The following is a 25,473-nucleotide window of genomic DNA, read 5'->3' as shown; positions in this document are numbered from 1 at the left end:
GGCCAGTGGTGATCACATTCACCACTCAAGCCACATGGCCTGTGAATGGTAAAGGTGGTCCCTCAAAGGAAGAGCAATCAGAATTCTGTATGAGAAGAGGTGTGGGGGGATGGATAATAGGTAAGTAGGAAATAGCAAAGGACCCTTAGAGTCTCATGTCTTATTGCTTCTTCCTTTACGGTGTCACTTGTACTTGTTCTCTTCTTCCCATTTCCCGGGGTTACATTTGATTTTTGCCTCGGTTGTTGAAAAAGCCCCTTCACTCATCTTTCAGCTTCTTCTCTGTTTTGCACAGCCGTGTTGCATGATTCATGGGGCACCATTTATATGAACATCTCTCTGAATGCACAGTGCAACACTGTGGACCAATTTTCTCCCCAACACCGTTCCTTCCCAGGCGATGCCCTCAGACTAAGCTTCCAAAGTGTAGTTCTAAACATACCAGAATCTGCAGAGGCTACCAGGCCAGAAAAAAGTCAGATCATTGTTCAGAGCAGGATCGAGAAACACCATATTTAAAGGGTGGGAGCTGGAATGAGATAGAACAATGAAAAGGGAATAGCGACATTGTATTGGATTAGCTGATGAAGGGAACAGGAGACAGACAGTATAAGAGACAGTTTCCTAAACACATGGAGCTTTTAATATGGTAAAGGGAGAGAACCGCACAAATATCCACTGTGTATACTAGTATGTGGGAGGAGCCACAGGAGGGGTGCTGCCCAAATTTCATAGACAACCTGTGGCTGGAACAATGAGGGACAGCATCGTCAGAGAGGTGGCATTCGAGCGGGTCTTTGGAGGACTGGTAGGGTTGTATTAGCTAAAAGGAGGTGAGGAGGTGGGCAAGCGTGGCACGGAGAATGGTTCGAACAAAGACATGGCAAGTTTGGTGGGAGGTCTGAGAGCGGTGAACAGTTCAGATCGGCTATTTCACAGGGCGGACTGTAAGACTAATTTTCGGCTAGATTGTGGAGGGTGTTGAATAGCATTGGAGTTTGAAGATGACGAAGATGGTTCAGGTTGCTAAAAAAGAAATACACCCCAAGGACAAACAGACATTTATCTGGTGGCTGGGAGGGCCATTTGCCCTTTATATGCTTTCAAGAGAGGGAGGAGCTGAGTGGCCTGCATTCCTGGGATCTGGCACTGGCAAGCCCCTTTTCCAACTGAGGCACAGCGGGCATCGTCCTGTCCTTAGCATGAGGTGTTGGGCCTGTCACCTTAGCAACCAGGATTCATGCCCCAGAACACATTTTAGCCACGGCCCCAGAGCCGTCCTGATACTGAATCTTGATTCTTGGCCCCATCTTGGCTCCCCAGCCAGGCTGTGCTCATTTGGGATTTTCTACTGTAACTGAGGCGTCCCCAGGGTCTCTCTGGGGTCTTGGAGCAGGCAGGGCGCAGAGTGTCAGGGAAATACAGTGGGTCCTATTTGCATGCTCCGTGTGCGGTATCATTTCCCAGCTGATCTGAAAGGTCAGTCAGCAGATCTTGTTTGTGAAAATAGAAAGGAACATAAGTTGCTGACTATTTCTTTCTTAATTCTTTCTCTTTCCCTTCTACCCTGGGACTGGGAGTTGGGTTATGCTTCTTGCCAGGAGCTTTCCTTCCTTGTCAACTGACTGCCTCTCTTTCTTCCCCTCTCAAAGGGACGCGATGGATTTCTTGGCTGGATTTCTGATAGTTTCTGAAAGGCCTTCACTTCTCTGCTGGCAGAGGCTGGCTTCAGTGTGACTTGTGCAACATGAGACAGTATGTATCAGGACTTCACCCCAAGGTGCCCTGGGGAACACACTCCAGCAGGGCATCCCTGCTGACCCCTCAGGGGTCCCTGGAATGGGGAAGAGGGGAGGGCAGGTGGTGGAGTTATAATACATGTGGGAGGCGTGGCCAGTATAGGTGGCTTCCCATTCCCCAGGACACCAGGCCATTTGGATAAAGTCACAGATGCCTCTTCTCTGGTCCAGACTAGTTCAGAAAGTGCTGGGCAATGAACAGATGCTCAGATGTCCTGTGGAGATGATTCATTTCTGTAAGACTTTTTTCCTACTCCTCAACTGCCTTTCAACAAGAGCTTCCTTCTTCTCCTTATGTTCTGTTGCTGGCAGCAGGGTTAGGAGTAGATCTTCTAAACCAAAATGCAGATGCCTCCAACCCAGCCTTCCAGCAGAACAGATATCAATCCTTTGATTGGAAACAACATTTCTGGGCTCTGGTTGCAAGAGAAACACCCCTCCATCCACTACCTCCACAATACACACATCTCTGTGAAGGAAGCTCACCACTTATTTGTAAAAAGGATGAACACTCTTCAAGTTAAGAGAGAATCAGGTGCTGTGGTGGACCACAAGCCTGAGAATACTCAGCAGTGCAACCCAGTTCCAATGACTGACATGCTTTATGGGACCTGTTTGAGTCAGTCAGACCCAGGTAATAAATCCCAGCTCACCCACTTGCCTGTGAGCCTGGGCATGTCATATTCAGAGCCTCAGTTTCTACATCTGTTCAATAGGACGCCAGCAGTACTCAACAGTGATGTTGGAAGAATTAGACAAGCCACGTGTGCAAAGCGTTTAGTGCAGAGTGTGACACACACTAAGCACTCAATAAGTGGTAGCTACAGGTGTTATTTAGGTGGTAGTTTTGCTATTAGTGTTTGGTACTGATTAATCAAAAGGAGGAAGATGGTCTCGAAGTGGGACCCCGTGTGCTCCCGACTGCTGTTGCTCCCACGAATAGGCCAGGCAGCTGTTACAAAATGGCATTTACATGGGAGCTAATTTAACACAATATTAATTTTTAAGATGCAGCTGGGTCATCTCCGGGCTCCAGGGCCTTCCTACTCACATCTGGCACACTGCCCCACAGAGCCAGTCTTCGCCGTGACTTCCAGATTGACCTCAGGAGGGTGTTTGTGGCTTAGCTATCAAAGGGTTGTTAATTTTACACACATACCACATTAACACACACTTTAAATGGTCTCATTAGTTTTTCTGCTGATATCCAGCTTTGAAATTATTGCTCTCACTGCAGAGCCCCCACAGACATGAGCTCTCATTATTTTTAGGGAGAATACCCACACACACCCATTAATCTAGGGCAGCTGCCATTTGGGCATTCTTTGTGGTTCAATTGGTCCATTATATTGGAGAAGTGGTAAGTCAGAAACCATCATATGCTGTTCAGTTGGGACAGATGCAAGTAGAGTAACTCAATTGCACAAATGCAGGAAAAGAGCTGGCTGCATACTTAGGTGAAAAGAATCAGGTGCTGTGGTGGACCACAAGCCTGAGAATAGTCAGCAGTGCAACTCAGGTCCAATGACTGACATTCTTTATGGGAAGCCTGTGGGCATCTGTTGCTTATCCTCAACCTGGCTAATACCCCAAAGAGGAAGCATTAGATGAAAGCGGGACTTAGTACATCTAACACAATTTCAAGGGAGGTTTTATTAAAGGCTAGCTCCTGGTATAGCTCTATAACAACCCCTTTAGCTCTGAGGGTCAGAATGTTACACTTTATTTACTTTCTCTACAAAGCTCAGAACCTTTACTTCTCAGGATTTCTTTTAAGATAAAAATTACCCTATCAAGTTTTGAAGTTGTGTATGGTGCTGTGTTGAGCCCCTTACAAAGAAGAAAGGGGTAGTGGGGCCAAGCACACACACAAGAAGGTCCTGCAGCCCTGGATGCTCACTCATCTCCACTGGCCATCAGAGGTGGACATCAGTGGGCTGGTGGTTAGAATTCTCTCTTGTGCCCTCCCCTGGCCCCTGTTCTACAGGCTATGGCTGGGCAGCCTGAAAAGTATTAGTCTTCCTCTCTTTCGGGCTGGTGCCTAGAAGCAATGGCCAGCTTCCAACGGGGCTAGAGTGATGGGGACTGAGGACACGGGACTATTTGTCAGACTCAGGCCTCCCATCAGAAATTGAGGAGGCTGGAGGTAAGTCTGCAACTTCACTACCGCAGTCATCCATAAAAAGGAACCCTTGGCTAACCATAATCCACCCCGCAGCCAGATGCTGTGCAGACTCTGTGTGTGTCTCACCAGCAAACTAAATAATAATAATAAACCTCAGTTGTGGGGACCTTCCGCAGGCAGCCCTAAAGCTGCTGGCTCTGGGCCAACACCATCCAGCAAAGTATCCAGGCAGGCACTTTGCAGAAGCAGTTTCTCTGCTGGGTATCATTTAGCAGCCATCCTCCCCTTGGACTGTAAGCTCCGTCAGACCAGGTCTTTCTCACCACATGAAGGCCCAGCATAGAGCTTAGTACCCAGTAGGCACTCAATAAGTATTTGGGCTACACATAAACACACTCCTGAATTAAGAGCTTTGAGCCGCATCATCCTCTCATGGCTGTGTGTGTTTAAAAATGAAAAAATATTTCTTCCAAATAACGAAGAAAAAAAATCAAGTTCAGAACATTATGTACTTTGTGATTCCAGTTCTGCACGAGAGAGGGAGCAAGACAGAGAAAGAGGTAGGGAGAGATAGTGAGGGATGGAGAGACTGTCAGAGGTGGGGAGACCCAGAGAAAGGCTGAACCCTGAAATATGAATAGTGGTTTTCATGGGATGGTAATCAGTTTATCTTTCTTGTTTTTCTATGTATTTTCTAAAAATGTTATATATGTGCATGTATTAGAAACATTTTTTATTAAAATTGTTAACAGATAAACACTCGGAAACCTGTGTTTTATTATGGCAACTTGGCAAATAAAATGTCCCCTTATTTACAGAGTCCCTTTCATCAGCTTCAGCCACCTTATTTATGTGCCCTCCTTTCCTCCCAGGGCTGTGATTTTTATTTTAACTTGAAGAACCAGGTTGCAGAGAGGGAAGAAAAACTCACAAAGCTCCCAGCAATCTAGAGGCTGATTTTTCCCAAGCAAGCAAGTCTCTTTGGGGAGGTGAGGAACGATTGTACTGAATGAAGAGGTGATCTAAGGTCAGCATTAAATAGATGTGTTGCTTTTCCCAGAGTCGGCTGAAAAGATCAAGTGACTTCCTCTACTGAAAAGTTACAATTCGATAATTAACAGAATTTCCTCACAGCTTTATAGGCTTCAACTCTTATTCTCTGAAGTGCTGACCTCATTGCCTCCTCTCCTCTCCAGGAAGCAGCAGTCAGAAATTGGAATTTCAGAGGGGCTGGCAGAGTTGCAATGTACCTGAGACACTAGGTACCAAGGGGAAGTAAGGGAGGGTGGGCGGCGGGAGTGGGGGCAGTGGTTGTTCTCTTTTCGCCTTAATTTCCAGGCATTTCAGAATTAAACTCATTGTTTAAATTCGGTAACTATCTAGTCTCAGATGCTTTTGCATACTACCCGGTTCCTGGTATATAATGTTTTATTCACTTGTTTCTTCTTAATGCAGTTTTATATTGTGATCTGCCTCACAAACGATTGTAATCTACCTTAAATGCCCTTTTGAGCTAGAGTGTAGTACAAATGCATCCATTCACTCATTTATTCTAGCTTAAGGTAAAGGCTAAGCTGCTATAACAAAAAGCGTAGCCCCTGTCTTTCTTACACACACTCCCAACGTGAATTGTCCAGGCTGGCGGCTGAGCATGGTCCAATGTGACCTGAGAGCATGTCTGTTTCAGCTTGTGGGAAGGTGAAAGAGAGGAAATCCAAGGCAGGCTGCTTATCTTTTTTTAAAAACAAAAAATTAATAAACCTTATTTTTTGGAGCTGCTTTAGGTTCACAGCGAAACTGAGCAGAAAGTACAGAGAGTATCCATGTGTCTGCTGCCCCCACATATGTTCAACCTCCCCCACTATCCACATCCCATTCCACAGTGGTGCATTTGTTACAATCACTGAACCTACATTGCCACATCATTATCACCCAGAGTTCATGGCTTATATTACGGCTCACTCTTGGTATTGTATATTCCATGGGTTTTGACAAATGTATAATGACATGTAGCCACCATTATAGTATGGTACAGAATAGTTTCACCAGCCTCAAAATCCTCTGTGCTGTGCCTATTCACCTTTCCCTGCCCCAACCCCTGATAATTCACTGTCGCCATAGTTTTGTTTTTTCCAGAATGCCATCTAGTTGGAATTATACAGTATGTAACTTTTCAGGCTGGCTTCTTTCACTTAGTAATATGTGTTTATGTTTCCTCCATGTCTTTTCATGGCTCATTTCTTTTTAGCACGGAAAAACAACAGCCTATTGTCTAGATGTAGCACAGTGTATTTATCCACTCACCAACCAAAGGACATTTTGGTTGCTTCTAAGTTTTGGCAATTCTGAATAAAGCTGCTATAAACATCTGTGTGCAGGTTTTCATGTGGACATTAAGTTTTCAATTCATTTAGGCAAATAACCAAGGAATGTGTTTGCTGGATTACATGGTAAGACTATGTTCAGTTTTGTAAGAAACTGCCAAACTGTCTTGTAAAGCAGCTGTACCATTTTGCATTCCCACCACCAATGAATGAGAGTTCCAGGTGCTCCACAACCTCATTAGCATCAGATATTATCACTGTTTTGGATTTTGACCGTTCTGATAGGCGTGTAGTGGTAACTCATTGTTTTAATTTGCAATTCTCTAATAATATATGATGTTCAACATCTTTTCTTTTTCTTTCTTTTTTTTTTTTTTTTTAAGACAGGGCTCAGCCTCGACCTCCTGGGCTCAAGCAATCCACTCAACTTAGCCTCTCAAGTAGCTAGGACTACAGGCATGTGCCAACACATCCAGATTTTTTTTTTTTTTTTTTTTTTTTTTTTTTTTTTGTAGAGATGAAGTCTCGCTCTGTTGCCTAGGCAGGTCTCAAACCCCTGGCCTCAAGCTATCCTCCCACCTCAGAATCCCAAAGCGCTGAGATTACAGGCATAAGCCACTGAGCCCAGCTGATATTGAACATCTTTTCATATGCTTACTTGTCATCTCTATATGTCCTTTAGTGATGTGTCCGTTCAGGTCTTTTGCTTATTTTTTAATTGAATTGATCATCTTCTAGTTGTTGAATTTTAAGAGTTCTTTGTATATTTGGATGAGTCCTTTATCAAATGTGTCGTTTGCAAACATTTTTCTCCCAGTCTGTGGCTTGCCTTCTCATTCTCTTGATATTGTCTTTCACAGAGCAGAAGTTTTTACATTTTAATGGAGTCAGATTATCAACTGTTTATTTCATGGATCATGCCTTTGGTGCTATATCCAAAAAGTCATTGCCATACCTAGGTCCACTTGAAAATAACATTATACTACTTCATGGGTAGTGCAAGTATCTTATGATAAAAAAATTTCTAATTCCTCCTTCCCATCTCTTGTATGATTGTTGTCATTCATTTCACTTATACGTAAGCATAAATTATTTTGCACGTTCTTTCTCTTGACTCTAAGTTCCTTGAGGATAGGAATTGTATCATTATTTATTGCTGTATTCTTTCACCTAACTTTTTTCTCAAATGAAATATAATTTACTAATAAGAACAGCAATAAAATCATAATCGCTATGATTTATTCAGTGTATAAATAAATCACAAGTGAGCCAGGTAATTCATTTACTATATCTCATTTCATTATCATAACAATCACCTAAGGAAGGCTGTATTATCCTCATTTTATAGATTACAAAACTGGGATTCAGAAAGCACAAAGTAACTTAAGCAAGGTCCCACAGTTCATAAGTAGTAGATCTAGAATTAAAAACCAAATCTGCTTGACTCCAATTAAAGGCAGCCTTTAAAGAGCATCTGTCAAATGGAGAGATAAGCCTGGAAGACCTCTGCTCCATTCTTTGAAAGACAAGGCCTTATTTTGTCATCCAAGCTGCAGTGCTGTGGCACAATCATAGCTCGCTGCAGCCTCCACCTCCTGGGCTCAAATGATCCTCCTGCCTCAGCCTTCTGAGTAGCTATGACAACAGGCATGCACCACCATCCCTAGCTAATTTTTTTTTTTTTTTGGTAGAGACAGGGTCTCACTTTGTTTCCCAGGCTTTGTTACCTTAAAAAGTTCTGGGCTCAAGCAATCCTCCCACCTTGGCCTCCCAACATGCTGAGATTACAGGGGTGAGCTGTAATGCTCCCAGCTCCCGGCCCATTGAGAATTTTTTAAGAACCTGGTCTATGCCAGTCATTATGTTGGGTACTGGGAATACAAGAGTGAATGACATGATGCTTCCCCTTAAGGAAAATACAGAAATTAGTAGATGTTAGCTACACTAAGGTAAATGCTCTGATACGGACTTGTGAGCACAGAGAAGGGTCCCATCCTGGGAAGTTAAGGAGAGTTTCTGAAGGAGGTCAAATCAGACTGAGGCACGGAAGATGAGTTAGGCAGGTGAAGAAATGGAGGAAGGCTACTCCAGGGCGTGAAAACAACATGAGAAAGTCTCACAGATGTGAGGCAGCGTGAAGGGTGTTCCCCGGACACTCCTTCCCCACTGTCGTGGCGCATTTTCACACGGAGGGAGCTCCCCTTTCAACTCCTTCCCTCTCTCTCTTTACTTCTGCTCACAGTGGCGAGAGGAGAGTGAATTCTGATTAGTAAATCCAAGAATAACCTAAGTGTGCCTGATTCCGCTCTCCTCTTGTTGATGGGAATGGGCTGCTGACAGGGAACATGTGCTTATCTTGTTCTGGAGTTCACAGTGAGGAAGTGCCCTTGTGTGCAGAAAGATGTTTTCTGCAGTATTGACTTCATCAGTAATAAAGTGGGTATGTTGATCTTTCATGTGAGGTCGCCTTGTCATGTTACTTAATTGATTCAGATCTCCAGCAGGGAAGAGAAGTGCGATGTCATGAACCTCCTAGAACCCCAACACAATGACAACAGAAGGTGTGGAGTGGGGAGGGCAAGCGATGTGGCTTGCCAGGTCTGGAAGAGGCTGCTCAAAGGAGGCCTTTATCTTGAAGGCCATGTATGGGATCGCTCTGAACTGGGTTTTATTTATTTTTATTTTTTTTGAGACGGAGTGTCGCTCTGTCACCCAGGCTGGAGTGCAGTGGCACGATCTCGACTCACTGCAACCTCTGCCTCCTGGGTTCAAGCGAATCTCCTGCCTCAGCCTCCCAAGTAGCTGGGACTAGAGGCACCCACCACCACGCCTGGATAATTTTTTGTATTTTTAGTAGAGACGGGGTTTCACAGTGTTAGCCAGGATGCTCTCGATTTCCTGACCTCGTGATCTGCCCGCCTCGGCCTCCCAAAATGCTGGGATTACAGGCGTGAGCCGCCGCACCCAGCCCTGAACTGGGTTTTAAGCTGGCAGGTAACCCACTCAGAATTGTGTTCTAGGTTACTTTCCTTGGCAACACTGGACATGAGGGTAGGCTGTGGGGTAGCAATAAGACCAAAGGCAAGGAGACCAATCTAGAAGTGACTGCATCATGTGCACCAGGGAGGTTGAGGCCTGAGCCATGGCAGGGAACAAACACAGAGAAGAGGGCTGATCAAGCATATGGTTAGGATCCTACATAGAGAAGATGAACGAGCCACCAGTTGTGCTGTTGCGAATAAGGAAGACTAATCTGGGATAAGCCTCGGTTTTCTGACTTTGGTAATTAAGTGGATTAAAATGCCAGTTTCATAGACAGAAAACAAACAAACAAAAAGGATCCAAATAGGGAGATGTGAGGCAATGACCCATCTAGTTTTGCCATGTTGATTTCCATGTGTGGATCTCCAGGGAGATGTCTAGCAGACTACAGTTGGGTAAGAGTCTAAAGTCCAGCAGCAATGTCAGTCTTGGAGATTTACATTTGGGAGCCATCAGCATAGGGAGGTGAGCATTAAAATAATGACTGTGTGAGATAACAAAAAAATAAATCAATAGACCAGAAGAAAACCCTTAGGGGAATGCAAACATTTAAAAGTTGGCAGAGGAGAAAGTCCCTGTAAAACAGAACAAAAAGCAATGATCAGAGAAATAGGAGGAGAATCATAAGAGATGTCAAAGAAGCAGAGAATTTGGAAAGGTCTGGATAAGAAACAGTCTCAAATGAAAAGCCCAGTTAGAATAACACTGGGAGTGTCCAGTGTCTTTGACAATTTGGAGGTGATGCTTTTGAAAGCAGTTTGAGTTGAGTGGTAAGGTCAGAAGCCAGGCAGCAGTGAGTTTAGAAGTGAGGAAGTAAAGACTCCAAGTATTTATCATTACAAAATAGGTGTTATTTTCAAGACGCTTGGCTGAGAAGTAAAGGAGAGGTCAAGAGAGCCTTGCTCCTCGATAGGTGAGTTTTGATGTATTTATAGGCTGAGGGCAGTGAGCTACTGAAAGGCAAGAGAGTTAATTTATAGAAGAAAGGAAACTGTGCATGGAGCAAGGTCCCAAAGGGGAAGGGAGATAATGAATGAAAGCTGATATGAGGGTGGGGAGAAGAGTGTGTGTGTGTGTGTGTGTGTGTGTGGTGTGTGTGGTGTGTGTGTGTGTGTGACAGAGAATGGGCTGGTGGGAGGTGGTATCTTCTTCCCTGAGACTGAAGAAGAGGGAAGGGTGGTTACAGGTGTGATAGAGGTTGCTTGGTTGTTGATGCTGTTTTTCTTATGGAGGCAGGAGGTGAGGGAGGAAGCAGAAGAAGTTCATGCTGGTGGCCTCGGTTTTCATGATGAAATAGGCTAGGCCATGTGCTGACAGAGTGACTTAAGAAGAAGAGTGAAGGCTTGGTGTGAGCACCAGGCAGAATGGGAGAGGAGACGCCAGCCAAGGAAACGGTGATCTACTCTAGAGTTGGCCTGGTTAGAGGGGAGAGGAAAGACGGGAGGATCCTGCAGGCTGGGTGAAAATGGAGGGAGCAGGGAACTTGGTATTCTGTCTAATCCTAACAGTGGCAATGGTCTGCCTGCCTTCACTTTCCCAGTATCCAGCCTCTTTCCCATGCCGCATCCCCTGAGCCTGCACCAGAGCAATGCTGTTGCAGTGTAAGTCCATCACGTCCCTCCTCTGCTCAGTAGCCTGCTCCTATCTCATTCCACGTGAAAGCCAAAATCCTTTCAAATCCTGTCAGTTCTCTGTGTGATCTGGCCTCTGTGAACTCTGACTCCATCCTCTACTCAACTATATCAGCGTCCTCACCCTTTCTTAGGGTACTGCGCTCACGCCCACCTCAGGAGCTTGCACTGTGTTCCCTTGCCTGGAATTCTTCTCCACCAGATGACAAGATCCCTCACTCTCTTCCACCCTTAGCTCTTTTGCGCAGGTGTCTCCGTCCCCATGAGGCATCCCTGACCGCCTATCAAATCTTACCACTTCCTGCTCGCTCCCCTGACATTTCCTCTGCATTTCTCTGCCTTGTTTTCTACCCAGCACTTGATACTGACTTGAATACTGCATGTTTTACTTACCTTGTATATTTTCCGCCTGCCCCAGTAGAGTAGCGATTTAAATCTGTTCTGCTCATTTCTGTATCCCCCGTACCACAGCAGTGTCTGGTACTGAGTAAGAGCTCAATGAATATTGCTTGGACGAGTTCTGATTCAAGGCTGACCTCCTATACCCTGGCTAAAAATGCATGGTTCTCAAATTGTTTCATAGGCATTAGTTTTGTTTAATTAGAGCAGATTGCTTTTAAAAGTAGAGACCTGGTTTACGTGTCATGCCTGTTGATTAATACAATATAATGGCCCTCATCACTCAATTGCATCTGTCCTTTGTCCCATCCACCACTTTATACCTGATCACCTCATCCTGTTCCGACTACCATGTATCCCTTTTCACGCCCTCAACTCCCCCTGTTACCTCGTCTCAGGGAAACCCCATCACTCCTGTGGAAATTATTCTGCTGATTTAATCTTTGCTTTTTAATCAGATATAAGGAGGTGGTGGTAGAAGTGGAGAATGTATTCAGACCATCATACATCATTTTATGGAAGAAAAAGCCTGACACTTTCATTGGCAAATAAATCCTGGAGCTCTGAGTACTGGGAAGGACCTAAGAGGTCAGCTCATCCATCTTCACATCTCTGGGCAGCTCTGCACTGAAAATCCATCCCCTAAATGCAGCTGTCTAGTGGTTTCCCTCACTATTCTCTAAGGAAGCTACCTTCCTGACCTTCTTTGATAAGCCATTTTAGTATCTTAGTAGAAAGCATGAAATTGTTACTAAAGCACCTGCAGTGCAGTAGGGTTACGAAATTGGAGCACAAATGGAGTTAGGAGGCTGGACTCTGAGACCAGAACAACCTGGGTTTGAATTCTGAATTGAACACCAACTAACTGGGTGACCTTGTGCAAGTTAACCTCTTAAAAAAATGAAATAATAAAAAAGACAGTCCTGAAGATGTTATATGCACATATATACACATATATAATATATGTAAATGATAAATATATACTCAATAAATACAGACGTACAAATATATACTCGACAAATGTCTCTTCTCTTCTTCCTTTCTTCTATTCCTCCCCCTACCCCACTGACATGCATTTCATATTTAATAAGCTATCTAAGTCTATTATAGAATTTTCAAGTCTAAAAGATTCATTCAGCTTGATGATATCCCAGACTTTTACGAGGACTATTTCTAAATCATTCCTACTTGAAGAAAAATACAGTCAACTTAGAGGTTAGATCCACAGGCTATGAAGGTTGGATTTGAATCCCAGCTTCAAAATGTATCAGTTGTGTGAATGTGGGCACTTGTGCTCATGAAATCTTCATTTCCTCATCTGTAAAATGGTTGTAAGATATCTGCTTATCTGTGGGGTTCTTGCAATGATTCGGTGAGATTATGTATGGAGAGGATTTGGCATAGTGGCCTGGGACTTAGTGTGTGCTTAATATCTGATAATGATGATGATAATGCTAGCTAATATTTAATACGTATTGCCCATTTAGTATGTGTCAGGCATTAAGAAGTACCTTACAGTCAGTGATGGAGGAGGTTACTGCTTTCATTATCATTACTAATATCATGTTTTAAAGTCCCATGAAGGATGGTGGCAAGGAGTTCTTTCTTCTCAAAGGGTCTATTATTTTGTTGTTAAAGTCAATGAGATGAATCTGAGTCAGTGTGAGTGGTTGCTGTTAACTGCATTAAACAGAGGAGGTGAAGAGGGTCTCAGAGAGGAATGGATGGAAGGGGCTATCTGTAAGAGAAGCCCACCCACCAGCCCTGAGTATTCCTTACTGTATAAATGCTGGACACCACAGTTCTTTTTTGAGGGCAGAAACAGAGCAGGCTGCTCATCACCATGGCAGGAACGTTGCCTGGGACAGGGTAGGGGTGACAGGGAAAGGGCATAGAACTTTCGGGCAGTGTTGTTCAGTTTCTGTGGTTTGCGAGTGTACCCTTCTTCAGAGGTAGAGGTGGGAGGGAGAGAGGGTGTGCGATTGTAATCTGCAAAAAAAAGCCATTGCAGGTCAAACTGACCTAGCTAAATAACAAGCTTGATTTGAGCCAAACAATGAAGTTGACAGTGTTGTCAGTGCTCCAAAAACATCTTCATTTAGCCTGCAAACAATTTTTTAAATTGTCAGGAACTTACGATTATTGTTTTCAAAACCACTAAAGAAAATGAAGCAAGGGAAAATGTCAGAGACTACGGCTGTATAACAATTCATCATGAAAGAGAAAACCTGTTCTATGTTAAAGGTGCCCCTAGCTGCTGAGTGTCCAGATGATTCCTAACACAGAGGGATCTGAGGTGTAGCAGTCTTCTATACTGAAGGGTGGTGATGGGCATTTTAAAAAGAATTAGTGCAGTTCCAGTTACCAGTTTAGGCTACCAAATCTGAAATGTCCCTCCTAAACTGCTATGCTCTGTTGAAACTCCCAATTTGCTTTAATAACCTATCAATTTCTAAATTGTTAAACATGTAGGTAAGTGCTTTCTAAGAGCATTTTTGAATGGGTTCCTGAAATACTCGAGGGGGCAATAGGAGAAACAGGATCTCGTTTCTTAGGAAGTGCCACTCCCATTCCCCACCAGCTCTGGTAGCTCTGTTCCTCTAGTATTCCTTCAGCTCTCAGGCCTTTCCAACCTCCAACCCTCTCAGCCATAGTTTCCTCTCCAGGAAACAATGTCTCCCTCCTTCTTCCCTTGGTTTGTCAGCTTCTTATCCTCTAGGTTCTGGGTTCAAATCCCCCCTTAAGGGAGGCCTTTCCTGACCACACTATCTGCAGCCAGTTCCCTCATCACTCTTCTGGCTTGCAGTGTGCAGTTCGTTTCATGGCCCACATCAGTTTATGTAATTTGTTCATTTTCTTGTGAATAGGTTCTCCCTGCTTGACTCTAAGCCCCACGAGGGCAGATCTCAGGTCCGTCTCATCTCTCACAACAGTCCCAGCACCTAGCGCAGCGGCTGTCACCTAGTCCTAGTTGAAGCTTAATGAATATTGGTTAAATGAGAAGAGTGAAAGTTCACTATTTCCTTTTGATTCATGACACTCTTATGGAAAATACAAATGCCTAGAGCACTAGTCCTTTCTTCGCTGTGTTTAGATCTATCTACGAAGATTCATGCAACTGATTTAACTGAAGATGGGTGGCACCTGACCTCAGGTTATTCAAGACTAGGAATAAGATTGTCAAAATGTACTAACTCAAGTAAATACAGTTTGATTTAAGGCTCATCTCCATTTAGGTAGTTGGGAATGGGGTTCCTTTTGCCATTTAAAAGAGAAATGAAAATGCCTTTCACCTTGGGCTCTTAGTATCCATGAAGGCAATATCTTGTACAGCACAGGGCAAAAACCATCATGGTCTACTTCCTTATAAAACTGTTATAGGTAAAGATCAAATCTCAGACTCTCACTAACTGCTGGACTGAGAGCATTACATTAATACTTGGCATTACATTCTCATTTTACTAATGATGAAAACGAGGACCAAGTTTTCAGACTTAGCTAGTGGCAAGAGGCAAGATCCAAGGCCAGATCCATCCAATGCCAAAACTCACATGCTTAAATCTTATTACAATAAACAGTCCAATCGTGAGCAGCATGGTCTGAGGTTGCACTACACAGAGACAGGAATGGGCATCTAGCAAAGAAGTAGAGAGCACACAGGCAGTGATCTTTGCTTGGAATACAGCATCAAAACACATACAAAACATCCCTCACATGCACCAACAAGAACAAGCCTGACATTTCTGAGTAATTAAATACATGAAGGTCAAGAAGAATGAGGCTAGCCACACATGATGGCCTGCACCTGTGGTCCCAGTTACTCAGGAGGCTGAGGAGGGAGGATCACTTGAGCCCAGGTGGTCAAGGCTGCAATGAGCTGTGATTGCACCACTGCACTCCAGCCTGGGTGACAGAGCAAGATCCTATCTCAAAAAAAAAAAAAAAAAAAAAAAAAAAAAAAAAAAAAAAAAAAAAAAAAGGAGAATGAAGTAACAGGAGCAGGCAGGGATGATTTAAAAAAAAGTCTCTCAGAAAGAAGAATGTAGTTAGTGGGATTTTCACGAGATAATGAGGGAGGAAGAAAGTGTAAGAGTGTGGCTTCCTTGGTGGTCACTCCTGGCCCTTCCACCAATATCCAATATTGGCTGTATAGCCTTTGGGTCTTGGCCTAAAATAGAGTCAGGAAGGATGATGGGACTGGTCAAGATATCTCAGACCCCAGGATAGCCAATATTGGCCTATGAGATTCAAGGTCCCCACAGTTCCTGAGGAACCAGGGTGGTGATCTTCAGGAAAAGAGTAGATCTTTGTTTCCTCCCTGATGTTGTGAACAACTTACCCCATTAAGATGAAGGGACATGGGGCTGGTGTTGGTTTCTGACAGTCCTGGAACAGAACTCATGTGAGTATGGCTTCTGAGACTGCCGCACCAAATCTGAAGTTGCTGTAATTCATTTAGAATTGCACCAAAAGAAAAAACAAAACAGAAACACAAAGAAACTTTTGGAGGTGATGAATATGTCTATTACCTTGACGGTTGTGATGGTTTCATGGTGTATGCATTTGTCCGAACTCATCAAATAGTACATGTTCCATTTTTTGTAAATCAATTACACCTCAACAGGTCAGTTTAAAATAAACAAATATGGAAATAAACAAATATATGAATTTGAATACTATTTTAAAAAACAATGGAGCAGGGGAGCTTGTGGGCTCCTTACACACCTGTGGGTTTCAAGTTAACGCCTAACTTTGCTATAGAGGAAAATTAATAAGAAGGAAATGTTGCAGAGAAGATACGCAAGGAGCCCATATAGGAAGGAGTGTTGGAATGATTACTTGGGGGATTTTTCTGTAGAATGCTAGGCAGCACATTCCCATTTTTCTCTCTCTGCTGGAAAGAGAGAAAATTGCAGCTTGAGTTATAACAAAGAGAACATTGGTTCCTGCTGCTGAGGAGCCTTCCTAATGCTCTACGGGTCCTTTTCTAGAGGACAAGGGCTCCCTCCTGTCAAAAACACTACAAAAAAGATGGCTTCAGTGAGGAGGATTAACTCTTTGTAGTTCGAAACATTGGCTTCCGCATAATGACTTTGAGACAAGGAAATGACAAGCTTTCCTGTGCCCACCCCACCGCCAGGGTGGCATGAATATGAGTATGATTTATTTATTCTGTCTCATTTCTTCAAACATCATTGACTCTATTTGTGTCTATTTTTACTGGACCATGCTGTGATATTTAGTATGCACTTAAAGTGGACATCAAAGACAGCACTTGCTTATTGCCAGCATTTAATATGAGCATCTAATTAAATTCAGGTTATTGTGTTAATTATTGTTCAGATCCATAGAGTTTATTAAACTACCTGATTTTCATATAATTCTACTGCAATTAGTGGTTATGTATTCATTCAACTGCTCAGATGAAAAACATTAAATCTGGATATGGAAGGTGAATTGTTGTCATTCACCTAACCATTAGACTTGATCATAAATGTTTATTAGAGTAAGATACACAGTTTTTGTTTGAATTCATATCTTTAGTGCACCCACCATCGATTGCTGTAGGCAGAATTTGCACGGTGAGTGTCTACTTTCATAAGTGTCTTGGCCATCAATTACTTTTGCCTAAATTTGTTTTTTTGAAACACACTTCAGGAATTCTCTATCCTTCTCCCAATTTCATGAATACTTTTTAAAAACTTTCTCTTTGGGCCGGGTGCGGTGGCTCATGCCTGTAATCCCAGCACTTTGGGAGGCCGAGGTGGGTGGATCATCTGAGGTCAGAAGTTTGAGACCAGTCTGGCCAATATGGCGAAACCCCATCTCTACTAAAAATACAAAATATTAGCCAGGCATGGTGGCGGGCACCTATAATCCCAGCTACTCGGGAGACTGAGGCAGGAGAATCACTTGAACCTGGGACGCAAAGGTTGCAGTGAGCCAAGATCTTGCCACTGCACTCCAGCCTGGGCAACAAGAGCGAAACTCCACCTCAAAAAAACACAAACAACAATAACAACAACAAAAAACAAAAACAAAAAAAAAACAACCTTCCTCTTTGAGAAGGATTTTAAACTTTTGCAATGGGTATGTAGAAAAATGTAGTCCGTAGTACCTTTTATCCTCACAGAGAGAATGAGAGTTGCCAGACAGGAACACTCTCAAACCATTGCCACTGAACCCAGAAATGCACAGAAATGCAGAAGCCCATCCCTCTTCCCAGCCAAAGCCACTGCTCTGTGTGCTCTGAATCACAGCCTCTCCAGCCTTCTTGATAACCTTCATCTGAGACTTCTTCCATTCTCCCACTCAACTTGCCACTTCCCTCAGTACTTAAATATCCCCCAAATTTCTCGTATTTATATAACACCTCCCACCTTCACCCAATCCCCTTTTATCGACTATTGGCTCTATCTGTCCCCACATTTGGAACTGTACTTCCAGAAGAGCCATCTCCATCCCTCCCCAACCAGTCATCGTATTTCTTCACTGTAGTCTGGCCTCTGCTGCCACCACTCTACCGAAGCTGGTTTTATCAAGCTTACCCATCGCCTCCCTGTGTTAAATGCATGAGATGCTCCTCAGTCCTTAGTTTCCTTGACTTCTCGGTGACATTTGTCACCACTGACAGTTTCCTTCTTCTGGAAACAGTCTCCCCCTTGGTTCCTGCAAAGCAACCTTCTCCTGGTTAGTCTCATTTCTCTGGCTCCTTCTCAGTTTATTACTTGCTCTTCTTCTCCTTGACTTTTCCATATTCCTTAGGATTCCATCTTTGTCCCTTTTCTCACTCGGCACACACTCTCTGGGCCATGTCTTCTGGCTTTTATTCACATCTATACCGGCTAATTCCCAAATCTGTATCCCCCTGGCACCCATCCATTCACACGGCAGTCAGTGTGATACTTCTCATGTACAAACCTGATTCCATCACCTCACAGAATATCCTTTTCAGTGTCTTCCCATTGCGTTTATGATAAAACCAACTCTCTTTGCAGGAACAACAAAGCCTTCCAGGATCTGGCTCACCTTGCTGTCCAGCCTCTATCTCTTTCCAGTCTTCTAGAATTCTACATTCCAGTCATGCTGGACCTCCTTCAGTGTCTTGAATGGTCCATGCTCTTCCCACTCTTAACCTTCCTTCAACCAATTATTTCTACCCAGAACCCTCTTCTACTGGCCTTCCTGCCTGTCACCTTCAGACCTCTGGTTAAGCGTTGCATCCTTTTGGGAGAATTTTCCCTAGGGTATGTTACCTCCTGCTAACTTACTATCTCGTAGCACGTCCATAGATTTCCTATCCAAATTTCCACTATACTTTATTGATATTCCTTCTTAACTATTTACTGCTTTATCCTACCTTCTAGCACAACACCTGATACACACCAGGTAATCAAAATTATTTGTTGAAAGAATGTACCTAAATGATAATAACATTATCTGAGGATTCATGTTTTGAGAATTTTCACATCCCTTCAGGAGGGTCGCCCTTGGGTAGTCTCCCATTTGCTTATCAACTGCTGCTTCCAAACCAGCCTGCTCATTCATAGCAACTGGGTTCTTCCATAAAGTTGTGGAGGAAAAGGCTGCAACATCCAGGCAGCTGTGTTGATCTCCAGGTGTAGGATGCAGTGTGAGTTTCATTGAAAAGGTGTCTAACATCCGATTCAAACAACTCCTGGCTGTTTTGTCTTCAGACCGGCTGAGTAGTTTGTACATATACTCTGAAACCTGCTTTGAATATTATGATTAATAGATGATCACAAACGTTGTCCTTTTTTTTCTTTTTTCTTTTTCTTTTTTTTTTTTTTTTTTTTTGAGATGGAGTTTCACTCTGTCCTCCAGGCTGGAGTGCAATGGCATGATCTCGACTCACTACAACCTCCACCTCCCAAGTAGCTGGGATTACAGGCATGCGCCACCACACCCAGCTAATTTTTGTATTTTTAGTAGGGAGACGGGGTTTCACCATGTTGGCCAGGCTGGTCTCAAACTCCTGACCTCAAGTGATCCACCCACCTGGGCCTCCCAAAGTGCTGGGATTATAGGCGTGAGCCACCATGCCTGGCCAACATTGTCCTTTAAACCTCTAAAAAATATTTATTAAACCCTAAACGTGGGCTCATTAGCTCCTATATCTAGGTTTTTCCCAAAGGAAAACAAACAAACTGTGATTTTGAATGGGAAAAAAAGGATTAGATATCAGACAACACCTTCATAGGAAAACTTCCAGGGCAACCAGCTTCACATACTTGAGAAAAATCTTTCCATAAACATCCTTCTGGGTGAGACATAAGTCATGGGGCATGGGTCTTCCTGGGGCCTATGGAGGTGTTGTATCTAAATCTTGCCCTACTGACTTTCAATCCTGCCTTTTTGTAAAGATATTTACCTGGTGTTTTTCCCCCTCTGTATCAGGGCCTAAAACACAAGGAAATCTTAACCTAAGATAAACAAAATGTTTGACGAGAATCCATAGATAACATTTACTAAAGCATCAGAATGTAAAGAACTATCCAGACCCTGCAGTACCCAGGGTGATATTTTGTCCCACGGGGAAGGCATGTGTGTACACACACATACTTGATTATATTTGAAGTCTGTTATTTTGTGTTTTGTTGTTGTGTTGAGCCTAAAATAAATGGCCAGGAATGGGATGGTGGAGCTTTAAATGCAGTTGAAAGGAACATGGCAGGGAGGATGCATCACCACCAGGCTGGTTTAGGAGCACAATTTTCTAAAGACAAGGGAGGGAGTAGATGACCTTTCTGGATCCCTCCAGTCTGAAGATTTTATGATTCCATGCACGTCCTCTGTCTAGACATGAAATGTGGATGCTTCTGCTTTTATTGCTACAGCACGGGTGAAAAGCATAACTGCTCCACCTACAGTCTGATCCTAGAAACTGCTCAGCCTCAGCCAGGAAAAACAACAAAACAAAACAAACAGAACAGGGGAGGAAAAAGCCCACCGGAAAGATGCAATTTCAGAGTCCATAACAGTGAATATTCCCCAAGAATCTAGACTTACTTTTCATCTAGCCTTTCAAAGTGACTATAATTTTAATAACAGTGTCTTATAGAGTTATCAATAATTATTCATTCAAATATTTAATGTCTAATAGGAAATGCCACTCCATGAGAAAAGGAGGAGACAGAAAATTTGGCCTTTCCTTTGTCACGTGGGGAACAAAGACTGGAAGAGGATGTTAGCTGTGCAGTTAACATAGTGACCACCAAGATCAGGCGCTCTGACTACCATAAGATATAGATCAGAAGATTTCTCTACTTCCAGGAATTACCCAACCTTGCAGTGCTGTGCTGTCTTCAACTTTTACACCTCACATTCTTTCTCCGTCACTCACAGCCCCTCTGCTCACTCTTCTGTGTCCCAAGACACCTGAACACACCTTGTCTCTTCTGGCCTCCTGACATTTCTCACCTTTGTCCTCATTATCATCTTCCTCCCATTTCTATAACCTTCCAAGTTTCTATGAGGTAGCCCCTTTGTTCCTTCTCAGACATACCAAAAATCTGCCCTGAATGCTCTTCTCTCAGATGCCATGTGGCCTGTTCCTCCTCTTCATTCAAGTCTCTGCTCAGATGTTAGCTTCTGAGAGGGCTTCCTAGACCACCTTATCTGAAACGGCACCCCATGAGTTCTTCCTTCATTATTTCTAAAGATCAGTTAGATCTGTATTTTAGACCTGTACTTATCTTGAAATGTAATATGTATATACTAAACAGTGTGCAAAGCACAAAAGTCCTCCTCAACCTGCTGGGTCTCCTCCACTTGGCCATCAACAATGTGGACGTCTTACTTGCCTGACCCAACCTGATGGCTTTAGGACTGAATGACTGAGAAAGGAAAACAGGAAGATGAAGAGAGAAAACACTTCCATGCTGCTTTAAGTCCCCATTCTTAGTCCTAAGTTCTAAGGCTGGGCCCTTACAGAGGCCTTTCCGTATCTAAAAACACCCAATTTCTTTTTTCTTTCTTTTTTGTTTTGTTTTGAGACGGAGTTTTGCTCTTGTTGCCAAGGCTGGAGTGCAATGATGTGATCTCAGCTCACTGCAACCTCTGCCTCCCGGGTTCAAGCGATTCTTCTGCCTCAGCCTCCCGAGTAGCTGGGATTACAGGCATGTGCCATCAAGCCCAGCTAATTTTGTATTTTTAGTAGAGATGGGTTTCTCCATGTTGGTCAGGCTAGTCTTGAACTCCTGACCTCAGGTTATCCACTCGCCTCGGCCTCCCAAAGTGCTGGGATTATAGGCATGAGCCACTGCGTCTGGCCCCAATTTCTAATTGCTACTCAAGTAGCTGGAAGCCTGGCACCCCTAAGGGAATGGGAACTTCCCATGCTAGCTCCTCACTCAGAAGTCTGATAAACAGATTCCTTAATTTCCTGTAGGATGGGACTTAGAACAATGGAATTTTGTAAGGATTATCCATAACTATCCAGTGAAATCCTTGATGATTTCACACTCATCAAGGGGTTACTTTTTACAACTCCAGCACTGCAACAGAGTTTACAATTGAAGTTGCCCTGGATGATATCATTAGCACAGTTCCTTTAGGGGGAATGGGAACACCTGCTTTAGTGTTTTGTCCTTCTCTTAACCTTCTCAACAGAGTTATTATTCCAGCCTATTCATAGGAGTAATTCAACTTCTCTCTTTGAACTTGTTTCTTCCTCTGCAAGTAAAAGGTCAAACTCATGATCCTTGATATCCTAGATAGGTCTAACCTTTTGTGATTCCATAAAATGTTCTTGAAGAGTTAATATGTTAGTTCTTCACCCCTACCTATAAATGAATTATACAGGCTTCAACCTAGGGAAAGAGGTTTAGAGTACTGAGAGTTGAACAGATTTTGAAGATCCTCATCACCTGAGGGAAGTAAAATATGAAATAGGGCTTTAGTTACCAGGGTTAGAATGAATAAAAACAGTGGCAACCACAGCTTTGCAAATATTATTTCAGTTCATCTTTACATTATAGGAGTGTACCCCAGTGCATAATCACAGGCTGTGAAATGAAACAGACCTGAGTTTGAGACCCGAGTTCAAATTCTGATTTTGCCAAATTCTAATTTGCTCTGTAATTTGGGGCAAATTACCTTAACCTTTCCAGTCTCAGGTGTATTCATCTGTAATGTAAAGAATTTGCCCATGTTTTTTGGGGGAAGATTAAATGAAACAATGCATGTAAACGTCTCTGCAAAATACATTACATGAAACAGGTATTCAATAATGGCAGCTATTTACAATATTGGAAATGCTTAATCCCTAAACATAAGAACAAGTATCTGAACCCATGTTAATTTTATGCCATATTTCTTTCTGCTAAACAGTGCTCCCCCAATACACCTTGCCTACTACGTAATTTTCTCTTGACAAGGAAGGCTCAACAGAATTTATAGGTTCAAGCTCCCCAGTTTCATAGAAATTTACCTTCATATCCCTAGCTCATTTTCAGAGTCTCACTCCTTCCCAATCATTGACATAACTTTAACATGCAAAACTCAGTAAATTTGGGAGGCTCAATTTTCTGCCGGCAGAATTAAACTTTGAGGTGGCTTTCAGAAATCTCGGCATTACAACTATAGGAGTTCAGGGTTTATTATAGGGCAGTAATAGAAGCTTTGGAGTTCCTTAATGGGACCCTAATCTGAGAATTTAGTCATAAGCTCATCATTTTCTTTGTCCAAGTTCCTCAGGACACTTAGAAGCAATCAACGAAACTTACCATACACCTTATTTCCACTAAAACAGTCTATGCAGCAAACACCTGTTCTTCTCAAGCCTTGCCTTCTATTGGCACATGATTACAAGTATCTATAGGTGATAGTTTAAGTAACTGTTTTGCTGTTTTTGTGCACATGGTGGACTTCCAATACCCCCTTTACCATTGCAAACAAGATCATTGACTTAAAATGTAATCATATAAGAAAACCAATTGCAGATAACACAGGACCAACAGAGAACACATTTGTAAGTTTCTAATCGCTGGAACCACTTTCAGTGCCAAATTCTTTATCGGTGTTCCATCAGTGAAAGAGATCTGACCACAGGCAACTGTGGAGGCTACTTACATGGTCTACGTGAGATGACTTTTCCTCTGTCTGGTGTTGGAATCAGGAGTCTGAAGAGCAGGATGTCAGGAAGGAAAGATAATGATTGTGAGGTGGGGGAGGCAAGAACAAACCAGAACTTGGAAGGTTGAGCAGGACAACTCAGGATGGTAGACTGGCCCGCTGGTCATTCTTTCACCATCTCCAAGCCTCAACTTTGAGGTGGCGTTGTCCTGCATCAGAGGTTGCAGCCCTTCATCATGAAGTTAAACACATATCAGGCCTGGAATTTGGAGAAGCTGAAGGAGGATCAGAAAGGAGCTGCAGCTGCTGCCTCAGGCCAATGAAGTGACAACACTTGGGTGGATTGCAAGTGTTTTTGTGGACCGCTCCGTCTTCCCAAGCATAGAAAGATGGCTACTGCTCCACTTCCACCTTCTAAATCTTAGTCTCGTGTAGCCTGTATACCCCCATCCCATTGTAGCCATGCTAACCTGTAACTATGCATAAAAGTAATTCTGGGAAACAGAGCTCTGGCTCAGGTAAGGTAACACAATACAAGCCCACCATACCACTAGTCAAAGAAGAAATCCCATCAGAAATAAAAAATGCTTTGAACTAATAATGAAAACATAACAAAATTTGTGGGATACAGCTGCAGCAGTCCTTATAGGAAATGCTGTGGCTTTAAATGTTTACATTTATAAAGAAAAAAATAAATGATCTGAGCTTCCATCTTAAGAAGCTAGGGGAAAAAAGGGCAACTTAAATACACAATAAGTAGAAAGAAAGATACAGGAGCAGAAATTAGTGAAATTGAGGCTGGGCGCAGTGGCTCACGCCTGTAATCCCAGCACTTTCAAGGCCGAGGCAAACAGATCGCCTGAAGTCAGGAGTTCGAGACCCACCTGGCCAATAAATATGGTGAAACCCCGTCTCTACTAAAAATACAAAAATTAGGTGGGCATGGTGGTGCGTGCCTGTAATCCCAGCTATTCAGGAAGCTGAAGTGGGAGAAATCACTTGAACCTGGGAGGCGGAGGTTTCAGTGAGCCAAGATAGCGCCCCTGCACTCCAGCCTGGGCGACAGAGTGAGACTCCATCTCAAAAAAAAAAAAATGAAGAAAATATGAAATTGAAGACAAGCAATAGAGAAAAATCAACAGAGCCACAAGTTGGTGTCTTAGTCTGCTTGTACTGCTAAAACAAAACAGCTGAGACTGGGTTATTTATAAACAACAGAAATTTATTCCTCACAGTTCTGAAGGCTGGGTAGTCCAAGATCAAGGCACCAGCTGGTTGGGTGTCTAGCAAGGGCCCAGTACCTACTTCCAAGATGGCACCTTGAATGCTGTATCCCCTGGGGATGGGGTTGAGGGATGAACACTGTGCCTTCATGTGGCAGAAGGAACAGGAAAACTGGAGTGTCAGCTCTCTATAGCTTCTTTTATAAGGACATTAATCTCATTTACAAGGGCGGAGCTCTCATGATCTAATCACTTCCTAAATGTCACATCTCTTAATACTATCACATTGGCAATTAAGTTTTAACATACTAATTTTGTGGGACACATTCAGCCCATAGCAATTGGTTCTTTAAAAGATTAATATTGGGCTGGGCGCAGTGGCTCACGCCTGTAATCCCAGCACTTTGGGAGGCTGAGGTGGGAGAATTGCTTGAGTCCTGGAGTTCAAGACCAACCCTGGCAACATAGTGAGAACTCATCTCTACAAAACAAACAAACAAACAAAAATAGCTGGGTGTGCTGGCACGTGCCTGTAGTCCCAGCTATTTGGGAGGCTGAGGAGGGAGGATTGTTTGAGCCCGGGAGGTTGAGGCTGTAATGAGCTGTGGTCAAACCACTGTACTCCAGCCTGGATGACAGAGTGAGACCCTGTCTCAAAAAAAAAAAAAAAAAAAAAAAAAAAAAAAAAAATCAATAAAATTAATTTCATCTCAGACTAATCAAGAAAAAGAGCAAACACAAATCATCAATATCAGGAATTAGATAGGAAATATAACTACTGATCCTATAGGCATTAAAAGGGAAATAGGGAATGTTACAACTTTATGGCAAAAA

The 25,473-nt window shown here is 43.1% G+C and overlaps 2 annotated features.

Moving 5' to 3' along the window:
- Positions 1,187 to 1,336: an enhancer, noted in NCBI's record as "active region_5643". NCBI's record gives its function as "activates an Ori minimal core promoter by ATAC-STARR-seq in GM12878 lymphoblastoid cells {active_cell/tissue: GM12878}" and the evidence as "EXISTENCE:reporter gene assay evidence [ECO:0000049][PMID:35858748]".
- Positions 1,917 to 2,006: a silencer, noted in NCBI's record as "silent region_4001". NCBI's record gives its function as "represses an Ori minimal core promoter by ATAC-STARR-seq in GM12878 lymphoblastoid cells {active_cell/tissue: GM12878}" and the evidence as "EXISTENCE:reporter gene assay evidence [ECO:0000049][PMID:35858748]".

Source organism: Homo sapiens, chromosome 11, assembly GCF_000001405.40.
Source record: "Homo sapiens chromosome 11, GRCh38.p14 Primary Assembly".
In the NCBI taxonomy this organism is placed as follows: Eukaryota; Metazoa; Chordata; class Mammalia; order Primates; family Hominidae; genus Homo; species Homo sapiens.
The sequence above is the reverse complement of the archived record's forward strand: the minus strand, read 5'-3'. Positions and strand labels throughout refer to the sequence as shown.